The sequence below is a fragment of the Homo sapiens genome, chromosome 1, assembly GCF_000001405.40.
Source record: "Homo sapiens chromosome 1, GRCh38.p14 Primary Assembly".
Classification (NCBI taxonomy): domain Eukaryota; kingdom Metazoa; phylum Chordata; class Mammalia; order Primates; family Hominidae; genus Homo; species Homo sapiens.
The window spans coordinates 168301330-168324855 of record NC_000001.11 but is presented as its reverse complement, the minus strand read 5'-3'; the positions used below and the strand labels follow the sequence as shown (position 1 = coordinate 168324855).

Genomic DNA, 23526 nt, shown 5'->3' with positions numbered 1-23526 from the left:
AAGTACAAATATACAATAAGAAATCATTCATGAGTGTGAGTCAATAGACACAATAAACTGCAGAATTAGATCCCAAGAACTTTGAATAATAGTATGATAATCAGACCAGCATATAAAATGAGTATATTTACAATTATTTAAATTTTTTAAAAAACAACAAGCAGTTGTAAAACTTAGGAATAGTTTCACTGCTGCAAATAACACAAAACCCAAAATAATTTACTTTAAGATAGAAGGTTATTTTGTCCTATGAAAACAAATCCCAGAAGTAAGAAGTCTAGGGCTGATATGATAACTCAAAGAGTATGGTGAACTCATAGTCCTTCTATCTTGTGGCTTCTACCTCATAGTTCAAGATAATTTGATTCTCAAATTGTGGCTTCTACCTCATGGTTCAAGATAACTGCTCAAGTTCTAATTATTACATCTGCATTCCGCCAACAAGCAAAGGGAATCCAGGCTAAGAAGTTCTCAACCCTCCCTTTAAGAGCACTTCCTGGAAGTCACACCGTATTGGAGCACATTATTTGTGGCTTCAGCTTTTTCACAGGACTTTCAATGTCTACAGAGGATAAATGTGAGGGAGGGAGGAAGGATAGAATTTGTATGCTCTTGGGTCTTTGCATAAAAACAAGAATGTAAATATCACCCCATGGAGGCACAGAACTGGGAAGATGCTTTTCTACCCTGGTACATTTTAAGTGGATTACACTGAATTATTTACACGGACAGTTTGCTTATACTCTGTACTGGGTTGAATAGTGTCCCTCAAAATTCATATCCACCCAGAAACTCAGAATTTGACCTTTCTGGAAATAACATATTTGCAGGTATAATTAGTTAAAATGAGATCACACTGGATTAAGATGGGCCTTAATCCAGTGACTAGTGTCTTTATAAAAAGAGGAAACAGACAGACACACAGGGAGAACACCAGGTGATAATGGAGGCAGAGATTGGAGTACGGCATCTACAAGCCATGGAATGCCAAAATTGCCAGCAGCCACCATAAGGCAGGAAAAGGCATGGAAATAGCACACACATCTGTAGGAGAGGCTGGGAGGTGCCTTGATTCTATGTTGCCAGAAATGACATAACAATTACATTCATTTAGTACCAATGTTTGTTAGCTATATACTCTGATTGCCTTTTCATACAGTGATTTTTGTAATATTATTTTCCATAGAGAAACTAGAAAAGTAATTTAGTCTATCTCTAAAATGACTAATCAAGATTTAACGTGGTGGGATTTGGGGGTATTAATATTTTAGAACGGTTTCTTTCCATGTCACAAGCAGTTGTTGCTAATTTCATGTATATTTCTAAAATTGTCAAATTTAGGGAGACTTGTATTAAGTTTCTTTTATATCCGAGACATTACAAGTGTATTTGCTGCTTATGGTGTTGCTAAGGGTTTCTGCCTTACAAACACAGGACTTCTAATACATACATTTTTAGAACGCCTATCAAAAAGAGAAATAAAGTATGGTGTATTGCCAGACATGGTGGCTCACATCTGTAATCCCAGCACTTTGGGAGGCCGAGGTGAAAGAATTACTTAAGCCCAGGAGTTTGAGACCAGCCTGGTCAACATCATGAGATCCTCATCTCTACGAAAAATAAAAAAGATTAGTTGGGCGTGGTGGGACACATGATGTAGCTTTGTAACACAGGGTGATAGCAAGATTGGAAACTTATTTATTACTGCTTACATTGTAAATTGATGCAACCAGTTTAGAGAACAATTGAACAATACCTGCAAAAGTTGAGCTACACGTATTCTAAGTCTGGGATTCTACTTGGAGGTATCTACCCTGCAGAAACTCTCATGTATGTTCACCAGAGAAATGTACAAGGATGTTCATTGCGGCACTGTTATATTAGATAGGAGTTCTAGAGTACTAGAGCACTGTTGACTATAGTTAACAGTATTATATAGTTTCAAATAGCTAAAAAGAGGATACTGAACATTCCCAACGCAAAGGAATGATAAATGTCTGAGATGATGAATATACTGATTATTCTGATTTGATCATTTTACCTTGTACGTATCAAAACATCACTGTGTACCCCATACATATGTACAATTATTATTCATCATTTAGAAAATAAAATTAAAAAATAAATAAATCTCTACTCACCCAGGCCCTTACACAGTGGCATTTCTAGAACCTTATTTCCTTTTGCCAACGGAGCCTCCATTCCAGGCTTCCTCTCTTTGGCTCCAAAACTCACAAAGGAGCCTAAAGTTGGTCTTTGGATACACAAAAGATTCACCTATATTTCAAAATAAATTCTAACTTATTTTGTTAGACATAAGTGAACAGCTGTCTAAGGTATTTTAAGGTATTATATATTAGTATCTCTGCAAGACAGTACTTTGGTAAGTTATAAGAGGTGGTCATTTCTCAATCTGCTAGAACTTTAGGCTATTGTGACTTAAAGTATTTTCTCAGTTGGGGTGCAAGGCTTATTACTGTGATTTTCATTTCTGGCTACAGGAGGGATGTAGCAGTTGAGACTGAGAGAAGGAAGTGGTAGGGTTAAATTGAAAAGTATTTCTGAGGTAGCAGAGACCAGGCTTAGTGGCTAATCAAATGTGGCAAATGAAAGAAAGAGACTTAAGTACCTGGGTAAATGGTGATGTCATTCATCTACCATCATCTATAATGGGTAATATAGAAAGAGAAGCCATTATTGAGTTTTAGGTGTGTTGACATTGAGGCACCCATAGGACACAGAGTGGAAATGTCCTGTAGGTGGTAGTGTAGTATACATGGAATCCAGAATCAAGAGAAGAGGTCTAGCTGGAGAATATTTATAAGCTCTTAGCACTTACATAGAAACTTAGAGTTATGAGCTGAGCATATCATTCGAAGAACATATAGAGCAGTAGATTTTAATTTTGGGGGGATGATGGATCCCACTGGAAATCTAATAAAAGCTATGGATCCCTTCCCCTCACTTTTTCTCTTCACCTCCCAAAAATTACCCTAAGTGTATATAAAATTCTGCGTATACCAAAGACCTTACTTATGAAGTTGCTGATGTCTCAGGTTTATGTACAACTCTGAGAACATTCAAGAAAGTGCTGCCTGGCTCACACTTGTAATCCCAGCACTGTGGGAGGCCAAGGCAGGTGTATCACCTGAAGTCAGGAGTTTGAGACCAGCCTAGCCAACATGGTGAAACCCCATGGTGTATTTTTAGTCTCCACTAAAAATACAAAAAATTAGCCGGGCATGGTAGAGCACATCTGTGATCCCAGCTACTTGGGAGGCTGAGGCAGGAGAATCACTTGAACCCTGGAGGCAGAGGTTGCAGTGAGCTGAGATCACACCACTGCACTCCTGCCTGGGTGACAGAGCCCAGGCTGCCTCAAAAAAAAAAAAGAAAAAGAAAGAAAGAAAAAAGTGCTCCCCAAGCCCTTATTCTACCCTTATCCCACGTATAGTGTAACCTCTCTGGACTTATGAGGCACTAGCCCACATGGAAAGAGATCAGGGCACTGGAAGAACGCTTTGCTTTCTCTACTTCCTATCTCCTCCCTATGTAAACCCATTGATGAGGTTCCTACCTCTTAAACAACAGTTAAATAATTGATCCTGGGCAATGTCATCACCACACCCCCAGGACCTCCTTTGGAACGCCTAATGTCTGAACTGATGAGTAAGCCCTATCCCTGTGTTTCAGAGTGCTGTGAGCCTGCATGACTCACCAACTCTGATTCTTGATCTGTTTTGTGAACTCCCACTAGTTCTGGGCCATGCTCTGGGCCTTGAGTTTTACAATAACTTTAAAGATGAAAATCTTAAAATCACATGCCAAAAAAAAAAGTGAGAGACAGAGATCACATGCTATTTTCCTAGGTCTCAGATCATAGCCAAGTATTTGGCGGGGTACATTTGATTGGGCTGGGAGAGATAAACAGGATTGTCTACGATGAAATAAAACAGCTGCTTTTACTGCAACCAATGCTTCTAGCTGCTCTACATAACAGTTTGCCTTCTGTAAATAATTGTGCTAAACAATAGACCCACCTACAAGATGCTAAGAAAAGTGCAACCGTAGGAATTTAAGGCCAGCTGTTAGCTTTTCTACTCTCTCTGCTCATCTCTGCCCTATCTCTTTTCAGAAAAATATTCATTCCCCATGTGGTCAACACAGCAGGATTCTGGACTCCACAAGTACGCGTCCAATGTTACAGGTTGACCAACTCATCCTGGGAAAATCCAGGCTGTCTCCATTTTAAATTGAAATGGAAATTTTATTGGAAATAAATGGAAATTAATGGAAAGTTTATTCCATTTAAATTGAAATTTTAAATTGAAATGCCTATATCCCAGGAAGCCCCTCAGTCTGAGGCACTGACAAGAAAGTATCAATGGTCCCTATATCTTATCCTCTCTGCAGAGCAAGAAATTTATGGCATCATCTTGCTGGTAACTGACTTGGCAGCAGGCTGACCAAACAGTAGCATAACTTACACATACGGGCTCCCAATTCAAAGTCTAATCAATCATTATAAAGATTACAAAGTCCTTCTCCCTTTCATCACATTTGTGAACTTTAAAACTGCAAAGTTAAGTCTTGGATTTCTGAATGCTTTGGCTACAACACATTTTTGTTTTGTTGTCAATAAGTGCACTTTTTTAAATGTCTATCCTAAAATCAATCACCTCAATACCAATCAATATTTGCCAGGCTTCATTAGATTTTGAGATCACATTGCTCTTAATCAAATTATAATGTGCTCTTACCCACATTCTCCTTCTCCAGGAAATTCAGACTTTCACCAGAATCTGCCCCAAAAGGTTTCTGGAAATGCCCTAGAGATGCTATCCAGTCCTTGGAAGACCAGCAATCTGCCACTAGGCCCCAGATGGTCCCTGGCCCATGAAGCCCTGCTCATTCCACGATCTCCCTGTCTCCCGCTTTCCCACGCCCTACGCCCAGCCTCCTCCCAAGTGTGAACACAGACTCTTTTCCCTAATCGCCACCGCAGCCCTGGGAATCTGATGTAAATGTAACAGGAAACCAAGGGGAAGTGCCAGCTGAGTAACGTAACTGCTCCTGCTTGGGACAATCCTCAGTACAGGGTGACATTGGGTTGTGAATGGGAACAAAAACTTCATCGTCAGGTAGGTCTGAATTCTGCCCCTACTAGTTGTGTTACACTGAAAACCCCATCTACGCTGTCTGAGCTGGCTCCCTCCATCTGTAAGACGAGGAAAATGATAGATAGTATCTATCCCATACGAAAACTCATACATGAATGTTCAAAAAGTGGAAACATCCCAAATGCCCATCAGCTGATGAATGGATAAAAAAGATGTGGCTGTATTTATCAATGGAATATTACTTGGCAGAAAAAGGAATGCAGTACTGATATACGCCACAGCATCAAGGATCCTCTAAGTGAAAGAAGCTAGTCACAAAAGACCATACATCACATGACTCCAGCCAAATGAAGTGTCCAGAATGGGAAATCTATAGAGAAAGAAAGGAGATAAGTGGCTGCCTAGGGGAGGGGGTGGAGGTGAGTAGGAAGGAAGTGGGCAGTGACTATTAATGGGTATAAGCTTTCTTTGTAGGGTGACAAAAATGTTCTAAAATTAGATTATGGTTATGGGCACACAACTCTGTAAATATACTAGAAAAGTCCAATGAATTTCCCCTTTAAATAGGCTGTGTAAATTATATATCAATAAAGCTATTAAAAATAATAATCTGTCTGGGCCCGGCGGTTCATGCCTGTAATCGCAGCAATTTGGGAGGCCGAGGCGCGTGGATCACCAGAGGTCAGGAGTTTGAGACCAGCCTGACCAACATGGTGAAACCCTATCTCTACAAAAATACAAAAAAATTAGCCAAGCATGACGGTGAGCGCCTGTAATCCCACCTACTCGGGAGGCTGAGGCAGGAGAATTGCTTGAACCCAGCAGGCAGAGGTTGCAGCGAGCCAAGATCGTGCCGCTGCACTCCAGCCTAGGCAACAGAGCAAGACTCTGTCTCAAACAAACAAATAACAACAAAAAAAAACTTTTCTAAAGAAATACGATCTTATAAAGACACAACTTTGACAAAAATATACAAAGAACTTTTTATCAAACCAAACATGTTTCCCCACCTAAAATTTCCAAGTACTGCTAAGGATTATTTCTAAAAATTCTGGATTAATACCTGTGGGGTGCCTACCATGTACCTACCAGGCACATGTGCAAGGTGTTGGAGGTACAGCAATGGAAGACAGTTTTTGTCCTCAAGTATAACCAAGACAGTCATCCACCCTGTAATAACACAATTAGCCATTTCTCTAATTTAAATTTCTAACTCTAGTAACCATCAACACCCACCTGCTCAAGTTAACAGAAATCCATGGAGTATCCTCAATCTCTCATGACTTCCTGTCATTACAACCCTGGACATTTTCCCCCAACATATCCCACTTAGCAACTTTAGCCCAGGCCCCAAGTGTTAACGCTTGAGGATCCACTCTTTTAACCCACACACCAGCCATTTTTCTCAAGGCATGGCAGTGTCCAGGTGGCTGCATAAGTCCACATTGGGTCCAGGAGCATCTCTTACCTCCAGTTGCTCTTGTGTGGAAACCAGTCATCCATTCAAACTACTCCTCCCATTGTGGTAATATAATTTTGTCTTAGAGGAAATATACTTTTCCTGCTGCCCAACCTTGGTCTGGGCTAACCCAAGCCATCCAATATATTTCACTACATTTTAACCACAAATAGAAAAGGTCTTTCCTTCTAAGAGATTACTACGTTCCCACCTAAAATATGTCTGATTCCTCCTCAGCAACCTCCAAGCTCCAAGCCCTCCCCATCTAATAAGTATGTAGGAGGGATACCACAGCTCCATCCTCCAGAACCAGCCCTGGTTAACCCAAAACTCCTTGTTAACACTCCTCCCCAAACTCCACCCCCTAAAAAGTGTTCTTTCAGAACAAAGTGAATCTACCCCAAAGGTTTATTGACTTATTCTCTAGGGACAGGGAACTCATCACTAAATAGACATACTTGTGCATACACACACACACACACACACACATAAACACACACAGTTACTCCTACAAAGTGCTCCAAATAAGAGTGGTCATGACCAGAAAATGTGAATTTCCGATGTTTCCATGTTGAGAATGAGAGATTGACCAACTTCTCACTCCCAACTAGTTGAATTCTAAGTCCTCACCTGGGCCTGACCAGTTGCTCTGGCCTCCGGGTTTCCCAGACGCCAGTTTTATTTCAGTAGCCTAGGTACTTTGGCAGGAAGGGGGCTGGAGAACTGAAACGATTGGCTGGAGATGAAATCACAGGGACACCTAAAACTGTCTTCGTGTGGCTGAGTCAGTTCCTGGAAGAGGGCCTCAGGACCAGGTGGCATCTCTTGTTTTGTCACAATGCTAAATCTGAAAGATATCTCAAAGACCAGTTCTTTAGGTTTCACAATAGTGATGTTAGCTATAGGAGTAGATGGGGGAGTTATAAATCATGTGACCCCCAGTTTTGTGATTCTGGGGCAGTAAACAACTTATAGAAAAACAAACTAAGCGATGGCAGGTCATGGTTTAACTATGCCTATTCTACAGCAAAGTCCAAGGCCCTACCACAATTTTAGCCTTGTCTTATGAACGCAGCTTCAGTCTACAAAAAAAAAAAGAAATTTAGCCTGTGAGGTTAGAAGCAAGATGGAGTCAGTCACGTTAGATTTCTCTCATTACTTATTCCAAAAAGGTAGTTTCACCAAGAGTTTGGGGGGGTTCTATTCCTAGAAGGTTGGGGGGTTGGACAGACTACCCCATAGATGTGTCTATAATGATGATGATGGAAAAGTTTTGGTGTCTTCAGACCACAGAGGCTGTTCCTTTATATCTTTTGTGGCACCACATATCCCTACCTTAACCTCTGTTCCAGGATGCCCGTACTCTCTCTGTTCACCAACCTGGCCAGTAGCCAACAAGTGGCTCAAGGATGCCCGTACTCTCTCTGTTCACCAACCTGGCCAGTAGCCAACAAGTGGCTCAATAAAGTGGGAATGGGTGGAGAAAATAAAAAGGAAGGAGTTGAAAGAAGGGCCACTTGAATGCCCCAGTTGCCATCCCCTACTTTGGCTGACCCACAATTTCCGTAAAACAGAATTCATATTCTTCACAAATGTGACATTTTAACTTGCTGATATTCACTCAAATCTATTCTAGTCTTGAAGAAAGTGGTGAAGACCTACCAAGCTTCGAATATCCTTTATTGAGTTTTTTTCTTAATAACTTAGGTGATGAAAACATTCCTCCCCTAATTTGACCACCATCCAGTTCTGGGGGGTGTCCACCAAGTGACACGAAGGGAATCAGCAGTTTCCCATAAGCATCTAGCTAAGCATGGTGGACAGAGGTGGTTGGTAATGAGGCTGGCTCATCCAGGGAAGGGAGGGCTGGTGAGGTCACACAGACTCAAATAAAGGCCCCACAGTAGGGGACACTTTCCAATAGGCCAGGCTTCAGGGAGAGTTAGAATCTCTACCATCTGGCTAAAAGTATTGCATAACTCTTCTATTCAGGTGGGATTTCAGTTTCTCTTAAATTTCATGAAATAGTCCAGAAAACCTGAAAGGCACCATTTTTGTTTTATAGTGAGTTGAGTAGAGAAGATACATGAGCAAGGAAATGGTATACAAAACTCCAAAGTTTGTCTAACACATTACAGAAGCTAATCTGTCACTTACTAAACTGACTTATGTAACTAGTGTTGTTTCTTCTGATCAGAAATTAGCCCTAGACTATTTAAAGAAAAAAATAGAAAGTGTCTCTGGCTAGATAGCTAACAGCAAATAGAGATCCTATTTGTGGAACCAGCTATCATGGTGTGTGTGTTTAAGAATCACAGCAGGTTCCAAGCTGAGTATCCTACAAGACGGAGAGACGTGATCACCCCAAACTCAGCTAATGCTCATGTTATCATGCTGCAGAGGACCCCATTCACCTGAGCAATATAAATGAAAATATAATGGAGGCTACGAGCTTCTTTCTGTTCTGTGTCCCTGGGCCAGGTCTTCTGTCTGCTCCAGGCTAGGGGAAGTGCAGGAAGGGTGAGACTCAAGGTGGGTTTTTATTCCCTAATTACACTTGCTGAGCTCTTGGTACAGGACATGTGAAGGACTTGGTGCCAAGACTTGCTGCAGTGACCAGTAAAGAGGCCTTGGTCAGACCTGCTGTGGCAATTACAGGCCACAGTAGCCTAAAGTTCTAGCAGATTGAGAAATGACCATCTGTTATAACTTACCAAAGTACTGTCTTGCAGAGATACTAATATATTAATACCTTAGTGACCTCTAATGGTATTGTAAAGGGACTGGGAAACAGGAACAATGCTGCCTTAGGGGCATGCTGACCAGACAGCTTTCCAAATGCATGGATCCATTGTGCCTTGGCCACTCACACGCCAACTAGTGGCCCAGAGCGCTGGCCAGGCAACCTGAAGTCAGGCAATGAGTCTTCCCTGGACACCACGTAGCTGGAGTAGTATTGTTTCCTGAGATCCAAAAAACAGAACAGCACAGAAATATTGGGCAGTGACACCAGTTGTGACACCATAGCATGTTAAAGGACCTTTCGCTATAGAAAGAGCCAAGGACTCAATAGTACCATGTTTGGACCCCTCAGACTAAGCCTTGGAGTGGGCTGGGTTTGCACGGGTTCAGCTGATGGAATAGTGGTGGAAGCAGCTGAGCCAATGCTAGGCTCCAAGTGGAACTTTAGACTCCTCAAGTGGCGGCCCTGAGAAGGGCTGCTCAGCCAGTGCAGTCTAAAGTCAATGTTTGGAGAACTGCTCATCACCCAGGTCTGGAAACCTCACTCCCAAGGTTATTAGCACATCCAGTAGTAGGTAGAAAAAGAGGAGGAAGACTCACGAAACTGATTCTGCTCACGGGTTATAGCAATGACCTTGGCTGGGGCAGAGGTAAAAACTCATCTGAAATAAGGTTCCTGGAGTATTTATCATCCTGTTTCTCTCTTCTAGGCAAGGAGTTTCCAAACCTAGCCCAGGGCCAATGCCTGGAGCTCTTGTTTGAAATGCAGATTCCTGAACGCCAGCCCCAAAGATTCTGATCCAACAGGTACGGGGTATACCCACGAATCTGTATGTCTAGCAAGGGTCCCCTGTTCCAGGTGATCCTGACTTAGGGGATCCAAGAACCAGTATTTGGGAATAACCACTCTAACACACCCTGTCTCCATATATGATTGTCATTCACTGACAATTGGTGGTGCCTCAGATGAGAAGCCCGTGTAACTAACAGCCAGCATGTTCCTAGGCTCCCACACGGATGCACCTATGTGTCATGGGGCATGTGTCTCTGAGATCTGCCCCCCAGCCACTTCACACCGTCCTTGTAGCACACATGCACATTACACCAATTCAGTTCAGCAAATGTTTATTGGGCACCTACAATAGGCAAGGCACAGTACCAGCTGCTGTGGGTTACAAAGACAAGAAGGCTAGGCCTCACCCTCGAGAGGCTTACAGTCTAATAGGGAGAGACACACTCACAGGTAACAAAAATACAAGGCAAAATGAGGTGAGCTCTATGGCAGAGGCAAAAACAACGGGAGAACAGCGAGCAGAGATAGATCAGACATATCTCAGCAGATCAGATGTTGGATGCAGGGAGTGACGTTTCAGCCAGGCTCTGGGAGGTGGGTCGGATTCGCACAGGTGAACTGGAAAAAAGAGGACACTAAGGCACAGGCAAGGTATAGAGGTGGGAAAGTGCAATGAATGTTCAGAGAACAGAGATGCCTGCCTTGACCAATACATAGGAGGCCAACAGGATAACAGAGGGACCTAAGCTGGGGAAGTGGTTTCAGGCCAGATGGTGTGATCGCTCGTAGTAGGATTTCTTTCTTTCTTTCTTTCTTTCTTTTTTTTCAAATGAAACAAAGCCTTGATCTACCACCCAGGCTGGAGTGCAATGCCACAATCATAATTCACTGCAGCCTCAACCTCCTGAGATCAAGCGATCCTCCTCTAAGTAGTTGGGACTATAGGCACAGGCCACCATGCCCAGCTAATTTTGTGTGCATGACTATTTTTTGTAGAGACAGGCTCTCACTTTGTTGCACAAGCTGGTCTCGAACTCCTGACCTCAAGCGATCCTCTTACCTTGGCCTCCAAAAGGGCTGAGATTATAGGCTTAAACTACCACACCCAGTTATAGTGAGGAGAATTGACTTCATTCCACTGGTAATGGTGAACCATTGAAGGTTTCTGAGCAGAGGAGTGACATGACTTCATTTCCACAAGTCTGGGCACACTGCTGTTTGTAATACATGATTAGCTTTATTCTTTTTGTTAACCTTACTCTATGGCTTACACCCCATCCTGGTCTCAAAGCAGAAGTGTGAACCTGAGCCCTGTGGCCACACATACTTTCCAGGCTTCACAAAGCAGGAAGCAGTGGCCTTAGCTAGGTAAACTCTGAGCTCATTTAACAGCTTTGCACCTTCTCCACAGAAAAGGAAGTGAGGCTTTCCAGAACGATTTGAGAATAAGAGGCAGGGCACAAGGATGGTACTTAACAAACTTCTGTCACCTAAGCATGGCAAGAATAAGCTGCAGAGAAAATGGGAGTGCAGAAGAAAATGGTGGAGAGATGCAAATGATCTAACTAGCATCATCCAAACTGAACCCTCTCCCAGTATGACTTCTGTAATAACCCACCTCCACCTCCAGCTAGTGGGAAGGGAGATTCCACAGTCTGACTCACTAGATCAGTTGATGGGGTTTCTAAGCACTCTACACATGGAAGGATCGCTGTGCAAAGAGGCTCCTAGGATCCTGCTTAACCATCCAGTGAGGAAGGAGAATGGTGCCCACCCGCTCCTGGGCCACCCCAGCCCGCGAAGGGATGCGAGGCCACTGCTGTCCAGGTGGACACAGCAATGCTGGTTAGCGAGGGCTCCCCCAGAACCTCCACACCAGCCGAAGTGGGTGCTTGGGTGGAGAGCACAGAAGGGGGTGAAGTCACAGCTGGGTTTCCGAGGAGAAATGCTCCTGGGGTGCTGGCGTGCACCTCCGGGCCTGGCCCACTGGGGCCTCCGGCACCATTGCTGATGGTCCACAGGCACGGGTAGGGGCTGCAGAGACAGAGAAAGAGGGGAAGGGAATGTTCACTGGCACTCCAAGGAAGGAGTGCCACCTGACAAGCATGTACACAGTGCTGAGAAGGGCATGGTTACAGGAGGGCTTCTGGCCATGGCTTTATTTCTAGCTATGACGCAGATTGGTCCTGTTTCTGCAGAAAAGCTAAGAGAAGCAGCAAAGTATGGTGGAATAATGATAAGATTAAGTATTCTGGTACTGGCCCGGCCACCAGCGAATTATTTGGTTTTAGACACAGAATTTCATTTATCTGGGCTCCCTTGCAGCCTATGTAAAATTGGCAGGGCAGTAGAAAAAAAGGTATTAAAACTGTATGATTTCTGCATATGATCTCTCCCTGGCCAATGTGGCATAATAACCAGGAAACATCACTGTCAGAAGACTTAAGTTTAAATCCCAGCTCTACCACTTAATTAGCTCTGTGGCCTTGGCTAGATTATTTAATATCTCTGAGTGTCAATTTCTCATCTTCAAGATGTGGATTCATAATTTTACCTACCTTACAGAGATTGCTACAAGGATTAAATAAGAGGAGTATATGGTCCTTAGCATGTAGTACTCAGTAAATGGTGGTTGTTAACATTAATTCTTCCATTCCTGGTCTCCGCCTGTGAGCTCTGGTGCCTGGCTGAAAGGCTGGGAGCTACAACATTTTCTTTGCCTTCTCTAGTTCTGTAGCACAGGTTCACACACTTGATTGCACATTCGGCACATTGGAATCACTAGGGGGGGTTTTTAAAGTAATATTGGTGCCTGGATCCCACTCTCACCCCACTCCCCTGCCCCAGAGATTCTGATTGAACTGATCTGGCATGCAGCCTGAGTACGAGGATTTTTTTAAGTTTCCCAGGTGACTGTAATGTACAGCCAAGCTTGCACCTTAATATAGATGCAGTTGGAACAGGTGCAATGAACCCAATGTTTTCGGCCTGTAGTCATCACTATGTTTCTTACATTTTAGAGTTTCTGCATTGCCCAACACTGTATTGCTTGATAATATGCTTATTATCCAATGGCAATATTGAATACATTTGTTTTGTTTTGTTTCTAACAAAATATTTATGGAGTCAGGAATGAGTTAAACACACCAACAGGGAAGCCAGAGTTGGCAATGCCATCCTTCACCTGGTGCCATTTTTCAATGCTACAGGCCTCTTTGGACCATATGAAACCTTCAGCAGCCCATCCTCTGAGCTCTCTCTGAGCTAGCTCAGCTTATGGGGATTCTGGCCCCAATCTTCAGAAGATGCTCTTCTACATTATCTCTTACAGACCCTTTCTGATGCCTCCTGGGCCAGTGGGAGAACCATGGGCTCTGAGAGGTACTGCTTACTGCAGAACCTTCAGGAAGTTTTTAAGGCCTCTGAGCTTCAGTTTCTTCATCAGCAAAATAGGAATTTTAATACCTGCCTTATAGTTGTCTTTGAGTACTACAGATGACTTATATATGGATGACTTATATATATGTAAGTATCTAGTATACAACTTGGCACATGATTGTTTAATATCTTCAGGGAACCTCATCTTCACTCTCTTTCTCACTTCCTACCACAGCCCAAATCAATGTTTTTCCCTCAGATCCTCTAGATCAGTGTCAAATGCAAATGATCCTCTAGATCAGCGTCAAAATGCAAACCATAAATGCCAACTACATGTGTAAGTTTAAATTTTCTAGTAGCCACATTTAGAAAAAAATTAATTTATTAATATTTTATTTAACAAAAATATTCAAAATATTATTTCAACATGCATTTGATGTAAATATATATATTTATATGTATATATTTACATCATAATATTTACATAATAACATCTATATTTACATATACTGTTATATTTTTATATATTTATATATTTTTAATATATATTTTATAGATATTAAAATATATATTTTTATACAAATTATATATATTAAAATATATATTATCTATTTTATATATAAGTCTATATTATATTTAAAAATATAAAAATATATGTAATATAGTGGTATATATATTTTATATTTTTTTATATATATATATAAAAAACTGGGATTTTTATTCTTTGTTTCACACTAAATCTTCAAAATCCTATGTGAGTATTACACTCAACTTGGACTAGCTGCATTTCAAGTGTTTGACAACTACAGGTGGCTGGTGGCTGCTGCACTGGACAGCACAGCTCTACACCCTTGTGGGCCACAGCAATATCAGCAACACCCAGGAACTTGGTAGAAATGCAGAATCTCAGGCCCCCACCCAAACCTACCAATCAGATTCTGCATTTTAACAACAACCCCAGGTGATTCTAAGCCACTACATTCTCCTAACCTTTCCTAACTTTTTCTGGACTTACAAATCACAAGTCATCTGATGTCTTCCCAAATCCCATCCTTTTTTTTTTTTTGGAGGCAGAGTTTCGCTCTTGTTGCCCAGGCTGGAGTGCAGTGCCTCAGCTCACTGCAACCTCCGCCTCCTGAGTTCAAGTGATACTCCTGCCTCAGCTTCCCAAGTAGCTGGGATTACAGGCATGCACCACCACGCCTGGCTAATTTTTGTATTTTTAGTAGAGATGGGGTTTCACCATGTTGGCCAGGCTGGTTTCAAACTCCTGACTTGAGGGGATCTACCTGCCTCGGCCTCCCAAAGTGCTGAGATTACAAGTGTTAGCCACCGCACCCCGCCAAGCCTCATCTTTTAATTTTGAATCCACTTTGGACCTTCTCAAAATTCTGCATAACCATATTGAACATAATAGCTGACATTTACACAGAATGTTACTGCTTACAAAGCACGTTAATGCATTTTCTCATTTCTGCATTTGATGCTCACAGTAACTCTGCAAAGTAGGTCATATTATTTCCATGATACCGATAAGAAAGCTGAAGCTCAGTAAGGCTAAGAAAATTGCCCAAAGCCACAAAATCACTACTAAGAGGTAGAACTGGGACTCAAACCCCTGCCTGTCAGACTCAAAGGGGCCTTCTCTTCCCACTTCACCACTCAGATTTCTAGAAGTCAGAACTTAATGCAGGTTGCTAGTGTGAGGATTAAACCATGGGGTCCCCCATGCTACACTTAACTCTGTTACCAGGGTCGTGAGGCCAGGCATCCACAATATGTCCCCCTTTTAGGATGGGTGACTCATGGGAAAATGGACAATCATGGGTCTTGACTTCTCAGTGTATATTTATACTTTTCCTCTTCAATTCCTCTACAGTCAGTATCTATTTGCTACCACCATAGTTTAAAGTATTTCTGACTGGTTTAAGACAAATGATCCCAGGCCATAATGTCTTTATCCTTTTATTTATTTATTTGTTTATTTTTTGAGACGGAGTTTCACTCTTGTTGCCCAAGCTGGAGTGCAATGGCGCAATCTCAGCTCACTGCAACCTCTGCCTCCTGGGTTCAAGCGATTCTCCTGCCTCAGCCTCCTGAGTAGCTAGGATTACAGGCATGCGCCACCATGCCCAGCTAATTTTTGTATTTTTAGTAGACATGGGGTTACACTATGTTGGCCAGGCTGGTCTGGAACTGCTGACCTCAGGTGATCCACCTGCCTTGGCCTCCCAAAGTGCTGGGATTACAGGTGTGAGCCACTGCACCCGGCCTATCCTTCTAAATAAAAGAAACAGTATATGACTGAGCTGTTTCTCCCCTTATGAAAGAACTCCACCCTGTTGCCACCTTGACTTCTTAGTGTTTTAGAAGTCAAGACAATAGGTTAGACCAAGCCACCCTAGGAAAAAGAATGAACTTGAGTCCCCAGTGCTAAAGTAAACCCCCAAGACGACCAATGAGCGAGTTGATGGTGTTGGTCTTACCTGGGCCCTGGATTGATTGGTCCGTTGGTGTGGGGTACAGACAGGATGCTGGCATGGGGTGTGGAGGATAAGGAAGTCCAGCTGTCAGGTCCCGAGAAAACTTGCAGATTATTGCTTGAGCTTTCTATCAAATTCACTTGGGGAAATAACAACAGTTGAATTGATAGCAAATGTAGAAGACATAAAGATGGTGACCAGTGACATTATCCTAGGGCAAAATATAACCATGGCTTGCACTACAGGCACCAACAGTTTGTTAGTTCTTTCTCAGGGAAATAGAAAATAAAAAGAAACGTGGGTTTCCTCAATGTCAACCATATGCCAGGTGTCATTCATAGTTTAATCTTCACACCAGTGACTCCTTAACTCCATCTTATAGATACGCCTCAGGGTGGTAGAATGATTTGCCCTGGGTAACACCGATCTGTCTAACTCATTTCACCACAGTCACTCTCTTTTAAGAAGGGACCATACCAGCCTCCCCTCAAGCTAAGCCTAAGGGCCACCAGTGCCCCAGATGAGATTTCTGAGGTCCAGGAACTTATTCTTCTCGGCCATCCCTGAGTAGGTTTAAATATCTCAAGCACAGTGCCTTTTGGCCCGGCATGGTGCCCACACCTGTAATCCTGGCACTTTGGGAGTCCAAGGCAGGGGAATCCCTTGAGCCCAGGAATTTGAGACCTCTCTGGGCAACACAGAGAGACACCATCTCTACAATTAAAAAAAAAAAAAATTAAGAAAAAAACATACCTTTTTACAAAAAGAAGAACATAATATGATCTCACTTATATGTGGACTCTAAGAAAGTTGAATACATAGAAGCTGAGAGTACAACAGTGGTTACCAGGGGTGGGAAGCTGGGGAAATGAGATATTGGTCAAAGGATATAAAGTTGCACTTGTGTAGGATGAATAAGTCTAGAGATCTAACTTACAATCTGAAGACTATAGTTAATAATATTGTACTGTGTACTGGAAATTTGCTAAGAGAATAGATTTCAGGTGCTCTCATCATGAAAAAAAGTAACTATGTGAGGAGATGGACATGTTAATTTGCTTGACAGCAGTAATCACTTCACTATGCATATGTATATCAAAACGTCATGTTGTACACCTTGAATATATACAGTTTTTATGGGGGTGGGGGAAGAATGTCTTCCATTTCTTTGAATCTCTATTTGCATAAATAGTATACAAATAAGAGAGAGGAAGAAGGCAGAGGGAGGGAGGAAGGAAGGGAAAAGGGGGAGAAGGGAGAGAGAGAAGGAAGATTCCAACGTCTATCTCTGGTGCTATGGTTTGAATGTGTCCCCCAAGGTTCATGTGTTGGGAACTTAATTCCCAATGCAAGAGTGTTGAGAGGTGGGGCCTTTAAGAGGTGACTAGGCCATGGGGGCTCTACCCTCAGGAATAGGCTAATGTCAGTATTGCAGGAATGGGTTTCTGATAAAAGGATGGGTTTAGCCTCCTGCCCTCTCCCCCTCTTTCCCCCACCATCCATGTGATGCCTTTCGCAATGTTATGATACAGCCAAAAAACCCTTACCATATGCTGGCACCTTAATCTTAAACTCCCCAGCCTCCAGGACTATGAGAAAATAAAGGTCTATTGCTTATAAATTACCCAATCTCAAGTATTTTGTTATAGCGCCACAAAGGGGACTAAGACACCTGGCCATGTCTCTTCTTTTTACGATCTGGCACTTCCAAGCTCTCCAGCCCTAACTCTTACATCTTCCATCTGTCCCCACTCCCCCTACACTCTGCTCCAAAGCTGTTCCCAGACAACCTAGGGTCTTTCCCCTTTCTGTATCTTTGCTCAGCCCACTCTCTCTACCTGGAATGCCCTGCACCTCTGCCTTTGGCACATGTCATCCTCCACCTTTTACCCCTGCCCACTCCCACTCTGTCCTTTTCTATTCATCTTTCAAGGCTCCATTTAAATGTTAACCCCTCTGGGCAGCCTTTGCTCCTCCACCAGGCATATCTAGCTGCTCTTTTTCCTTCATTCACATGGCACCCTGACTTATGTGTTTTATAGACTGTTTCTCAAATTCTAGAGCGCTTATGAATCCCCTGGTGATCTTGTTAAAATGCAGACCCTGACTCAGGAGTAGAGCCTGAAAGTCTACATTTCTAACAAGTTCCCAGGTGATGTTTCTGCATTACATTAGGATTCATTATTTACGTATTTGTGTAACCCCGAGCTCCTCCAGGGAAGAAGCTATATCTTTTTTTTTTTTTTTTTTTTTTGAGATGGCGTCTTGCTCTTGTTGCCCAGGCTAGAGTGCAGTGGCACAATCTTGGCTCACTGCAGCCTCTGCCTCCCGGATTCAAGCAATTCTCCTGCCTCAGCCTCCCAAGTAGCTGGGATTACAGGCGCCAACGACCACGCCTGGCTAGTTTTTGTATTTTTAGTAGAGACGGGGTTTCGCCATGTTGGCCAGGCTACTCTCGAACTCCTGATCTTGTGATCCGCCCGCCTCAGCCTCCCAAAGTGCTGGGATTACAGGCGTGAACCACCGCTCCCGGCCCTGAAACTATGTCTTAATCACTTTCCTATCCCACTGCCTAGAAGAACACGGTACACAGTAGGTGCTCAGAAGATGTGATTTGATGCTGACCGCAGGAAAGAATGAGGAAGTAGAGTGAGCCACTGCTCAGTTTCTGCTATTGGTAAGCTACATAATCTCCCCACCTGGCAGCAACTGTTGAGGTTGCCAAGAATAGCAGGCTAAGGGACACAGGGACAGGTAGCTGGTGACCAGGAGGACCCTCTACAAATGCAGAGCTCAGGGTGTCACTGAGGAAGGAAGGAGGCTGGAATCCAAATACTCTCCACTGTCTCCCATGCCATGAACTTTACTTGTTTTATTGTCAATCTTTTCATATTAGTATAGAATCTCCGTAAGGGCAGGGCATTTGTCCATTTCATTCCTGTGCTTGAAACAGAGCCTGGCATATAGTCGATCCTCAATAAATATTTGTTGCATGAATAATTTAATGAAAAAGTAACCATTGTTTTCATTTCTCCCTTCTTTCTACAAATCTAATAATCAGGCAAGGTCTGGGCCTACATAAGGCAAAGGTGGAAAAGGCAATAGTCAATGAGAAAAAAGCACACAAACAATACTGCTAACTTAAAACAAACAGACAGCAAAAATTATTTTAAAATACTAAGGTTGGGTTTGCATGTCTCCAACTGAATCAGACTAAGGCCTGAACATATAGGGATCCAGCTTCCCAGAGACCTTCCTAATAATTCCCTAATGCTAGACCCAGTATTCCCTGAACTGAGCCATGAATGCAACTATAGAAAAGAGCCATGCGAAGGTGATGAGCTGAGTGTTTCAGACCCACACAACTTGACATGGCTTTTAGAGATCTGCCTGAACTGCTCAGAATATCAGTGTCCTGGCCTTTCACGCTCATTAGAAACCAGGAGACTGGGGGTTTTATGAAATAATTTTTTTAAAAAAAACTAAGATTGTTATACCTAGTTAATCAAATATTTGTACATAAAATAACAATAAAATAAAACACAAAAACAATCATATCATAGATGTATATTAGATGACGGGGTTCCATCTTTAGCTACTCCTTTTCCTAGCTGTTTATCCATTTCTCCTGACTGCCCCCACCCCAGCCCATACCCCAAGGGTTTAATCAGCAGAGTCACAGACCTGAGGGAGAATGGTTTCTGTGCATGTACGCAGAAGGGTAGGGAGCCTGCCGGTGTCCTCGGAGACCCGAATAGTGCTCACAGCCATGGTGGGTGTGGGGAGCAGGCAGAGGCAGAGGAGCGGCATACTGGTAATTGGAGTTTCCTGCTGTGCACACTCCATCTGGATTGGAAAAGATCCAGCCTCCCACTAAAATAGACAAGAGGAATACACCAAGACTGAGTCTGTGAACTCCCACACCAAAAATCAGGTGACCAGCTACTTTACACAGCTACAATTCTTGTAAATGACACTGATGCCAGCCTGTGTGATGGTGCCAGCCTGTGTGGTGGTACCATCCCCTAGCTGCCACTGCCCTTGCCCATGAGCAGCTAACTTGGCTTCTCTGGAAATGCATGACCAGTCCTGAAACTGCCTTTGCAAAAATTGTATCAGTGAGAAAATTTTGGCAGTTGAAGACTTCTGATCTACCCAATCTCCCTCTTGCCTTTAGCCTTCAAGCTGCCAAGCTAGCTTTGGGAGACATTTAGCTTATAGTTTAAATAATAGTAATCCTTCTCTAAAACTCAACTGCCTTTGTAAAGCTAATGAAAGACTACCAGGCTAGGAGCATAGAGGAGCCTGAATTCTGCTAAGATGTAGACACAAATGATTGCCAGCCATTATTCCAGACTTTACAATATACGCAACTTTCCCAATTACTCCTGCAGATAACATCACTATTGTAGAACCTAAGATAGGCCTTTAGAGATATCTTTTCAGGTTTTTGGCATATCTGACACCAGTGGCTCCACCTGGACCCACCAACCCCACCTGTGGCCCCACCCAGAAGTGACTCAGCACCAGAGGACAGCTTCAATTCCCTGTGATTTCATCTCTGATCCAACCAATCAGCAGCAAGCACCTATTGTCTAGCTACCCCCACTTCTTCCCTGAAATTGCCTCTGAAAAAGGTAACCTAACCTACAAGTTTTTGAAGAGATTGATTTGAGTAAGAGCTCTGTCCCCAAAATGGCATGGCCAGATTCATGTCTATTAAACTCTTTCTTTATTGCAACGCTGTGGTCTTTGTGTCAGAGGTGTTTGAACCAGAGTGACTCCATCTTGAATAGGGGCCGGGTAAAGTGAGGCTGAGACCTACTGGGCTGCATTCCCAGGTGGTTAGGAATTCTTAGTCACAGGATAAGATAGGAGGTGAGCACAACATACAACAAAGGCCTTGCTGATAAAACAGGATGCAGTAAATAAGCCGGCCAAAACCCACCAAAACCAAGATGGCAATGAAAATGACCTCTGGTTATCCTCACTGCTAGTTATATGCGAATCATAATGCATTAGAATGCTAAAAGACACTTCAACAAGCACCATGATAGTTTACAAATGCCATGGCAATGTCAGGAAGTTACCCTATGCGGTCTAAAAAGGGGAGAAATCAACCCTCAGCTGTGGGAATTGCCCGCCCCTTTCCTGAAAAACTTATGAATAATCCACCCCCTGTATAGCATATAATCAAGAAATAACTATAAGTATACTCAGTTGAGCAGCCCATGCCTCTGTTCTGCCTATGAAGTAGCCATTCTTTTATTCCTTTACTTTCTAAATAAACTTGCTTTCACTTTACTCTGTGGACTTGCCCTGAATTCTTTCTTGCATGAGGTCCAAGAACCCTTTGTTGGGGTCTGGATCAGGACCCCTTCTCAGTAACATCTTTTTGTGCAACCAGCAGGAAGAACCTATCAGGTGGTTACAGTCCTATCAAAGGACTCTATCAAAGGGTGGAAAACCTCTAAAGCAACACTGGAATATAGCAATATGAAATACGATGAGTTCATGTCCTTTGTAGGGACATGGATGAAGGTGGAAACCATCATTCTCAGCAAACTATCGCAAGGACAAAAAACCAAACACCGCATGTTCTCACTCATAGGTGGGAATTGAACAATGAGAGCACATGGACACAGGAAGGGGAACATCACACACCAGGACCTGTCGTGGGGTAGTGGGAGTGGGGAGGGATAGCATTAGGAGATATATCTAATGTAAATGACGAGTTAATGGGTACAGCACACCAACATGGCACATGTATACATATGTAACAAACCTGCACGTTGTGAACATGTACCCTAGAACTTAAAGTATAACAAAAATAAATAAATAAATAAATAAAAAGAAATACTATCTGAATGCAGAAGTTAATAGAAATGCAAAGTTAAGGTGCTTCAGGCTTAATTAAAATAAAAGGCAGTCTAGGAGGCATTACACGTATATGTAACTCATGGACCTTCAGCTACCAGGGAAGGTAGGGAATGATTAATGTGGTTACGCAGGAAGAGTGAAAGCCTCTCTATTTCTGCCGAGTGTGAAGGTGCCTTCAGTTCTCACTCTAAGCAAGAGATATCATGATGCCTTCCAACCCCACCCCACAAAGAGAATTCTGACAGCACAGAAAGGGAGAGCTGGCCTAGCACAACTTGACAGCAAGCATTTTGGGGTTTTTTTTTGGTTTTGGGGTTTTTTTCCTTTTTTCTTCTTTTTCATTCCACTTATTTACTGGCAGGCAGCAAGCATTTTGCAGAATATTTTGGACGACTGCAAAATGTTTTGTAGAAAGATTCTGAACAGAAGACTATTTCGAGTGAGTTTATGGGCAAAGACTGAGACTTAGTACTGCAGGCCCCAAAACAAGAAGCTTGTTCTCCCGCTGACCATGCCTCAGCTAAGGGATCAGTGGATGGGGATTCAGATAGAAACAGAGCTGTTCCTTAAGAACATTGGCTAAGGATTGTCACCTGGGCTTCGGCAATGAGGAAATGGAGCTTGATATTAGAACCCACCGCCTTCGCTTAATACTTTTTAAGTACAAGTAAGCAAATTGTACAAAGTTCATATTACAATCATTCCCAACAAATCCTTTTGTCATCTTCATTTTCCCAGAGTTGCACAAACTTATGGCCCAAGGGGTCCCCATCTGACTAACAGAATCAAGATTCATGCACCCAGCGGGCAAAACCAGGCAAGTGGCCCCTCAGAACCAGACTTTGCCACATATAATGTACACACCTCAAGAAGTTTGCTGAGAAGATTGCAACACATGAACTTTGAACTCCTATGGTTCTGCACATGGCCCTAACCTAGAAAACGAGGTTTTTATTCCAGTTCATTCCACCTAAAGGAAAAAACTGAGGGGGAAGTGATAAAAGAAAAACAGCTCAGAACAGTCTGAGTTATGTGAGGCATGCAAAATTTATCAGACCCAGAGGGATGTGAGTGTGAGGAGCAGCTTCAGTCAAGGGCACCCCCTGCACCCATGCCTGGGGGCAATTCTTTAAAGGCATTTTTGTTCCTGACTAGCTGCCTCACCCATTATCTTCACGTTCCTGGAATGTGTGATACAAAGAACAATATATAACCAATCAGCAGCTCATGTTACAGTAGACAGTTTATGAATCACCTCTTATTTTTCCCTTTAAAAATCCACTTGTAACTGCTGCTAACCCAAGTATATATTCAGGGGAACTTGAATCTGTGCTCCCAAGCTGTAGTCCTCAAACTTGACCCAAATAAACTTTTTACTTATATTAATGTTGCCTCAGTTTTTTCATTTAGGTTGACAGTCATTTTTAAAGAGTGCTTTTCGGCCGGGGGCAATGGCTCATGCCTGTAATCCCGGCACTTTGGGAGGTCGAGGCAGGCGGATCACAAGGTCAGGAGTTCAAGACCAGCCTGGCCTATATGGTGAAACCCCATCTCTACCAAAAATACAAAAATTAGCCGGGCATGGTGGCACATGCCTGTGGGCCCAGCTGCTCGAGAGGCTGAGGGAGAGGAGTCACTTGAACCCGGGAGGCGGAGGTTGCAGTGAGCCAA

The 23526-nt window shown here is 42.9% G+C and overlaps 1 protein-coding gene across 1 annotated transcript in view, besides 1 other annotated feature; it reads right to left on the bottom strand.

Moving 5' to 3' along the window:
- Positions 3571–3865: an enhancer, noted in NCBI's record as "tiled region #6776; K562 Activating DNase unmatched - State 8:EnhW". NCBI's record gives its function as "activates a minimal TATA promoter and a strong SV40 promoter by Sharpr-MPRA in K562 cells {active_cell/tissue: K562}" and the evidence as "EXISTENCE:reporter gene assay evidence [ECO:0000049][PMID:27701403]".
- TBX19 (T-box transcription factor 19) overlaps positions 10430–23526 on the bottom strand; it is a 33550-nt gene continuing 20453 nt past the window's right edge. The window contains exons 6-8 of the mRNA NM_005149.3: positions 19660–19848; positions 15979–16114; positions 10430–12148 (exon numbers count right to left, since the gene is read on the bottom strand). Of these exons, the coding sequence (NP_005140.1) occupies positions 11854–12148; positions 15979–16114; positions 19660–19848 (620 nt within the window). The 3' untranslated portion in view covers positions 10430–11853. The remainder of the gene's footprint in view (positions 12149–15978; positions 16115–19659; positions 19849–23526) is intronic.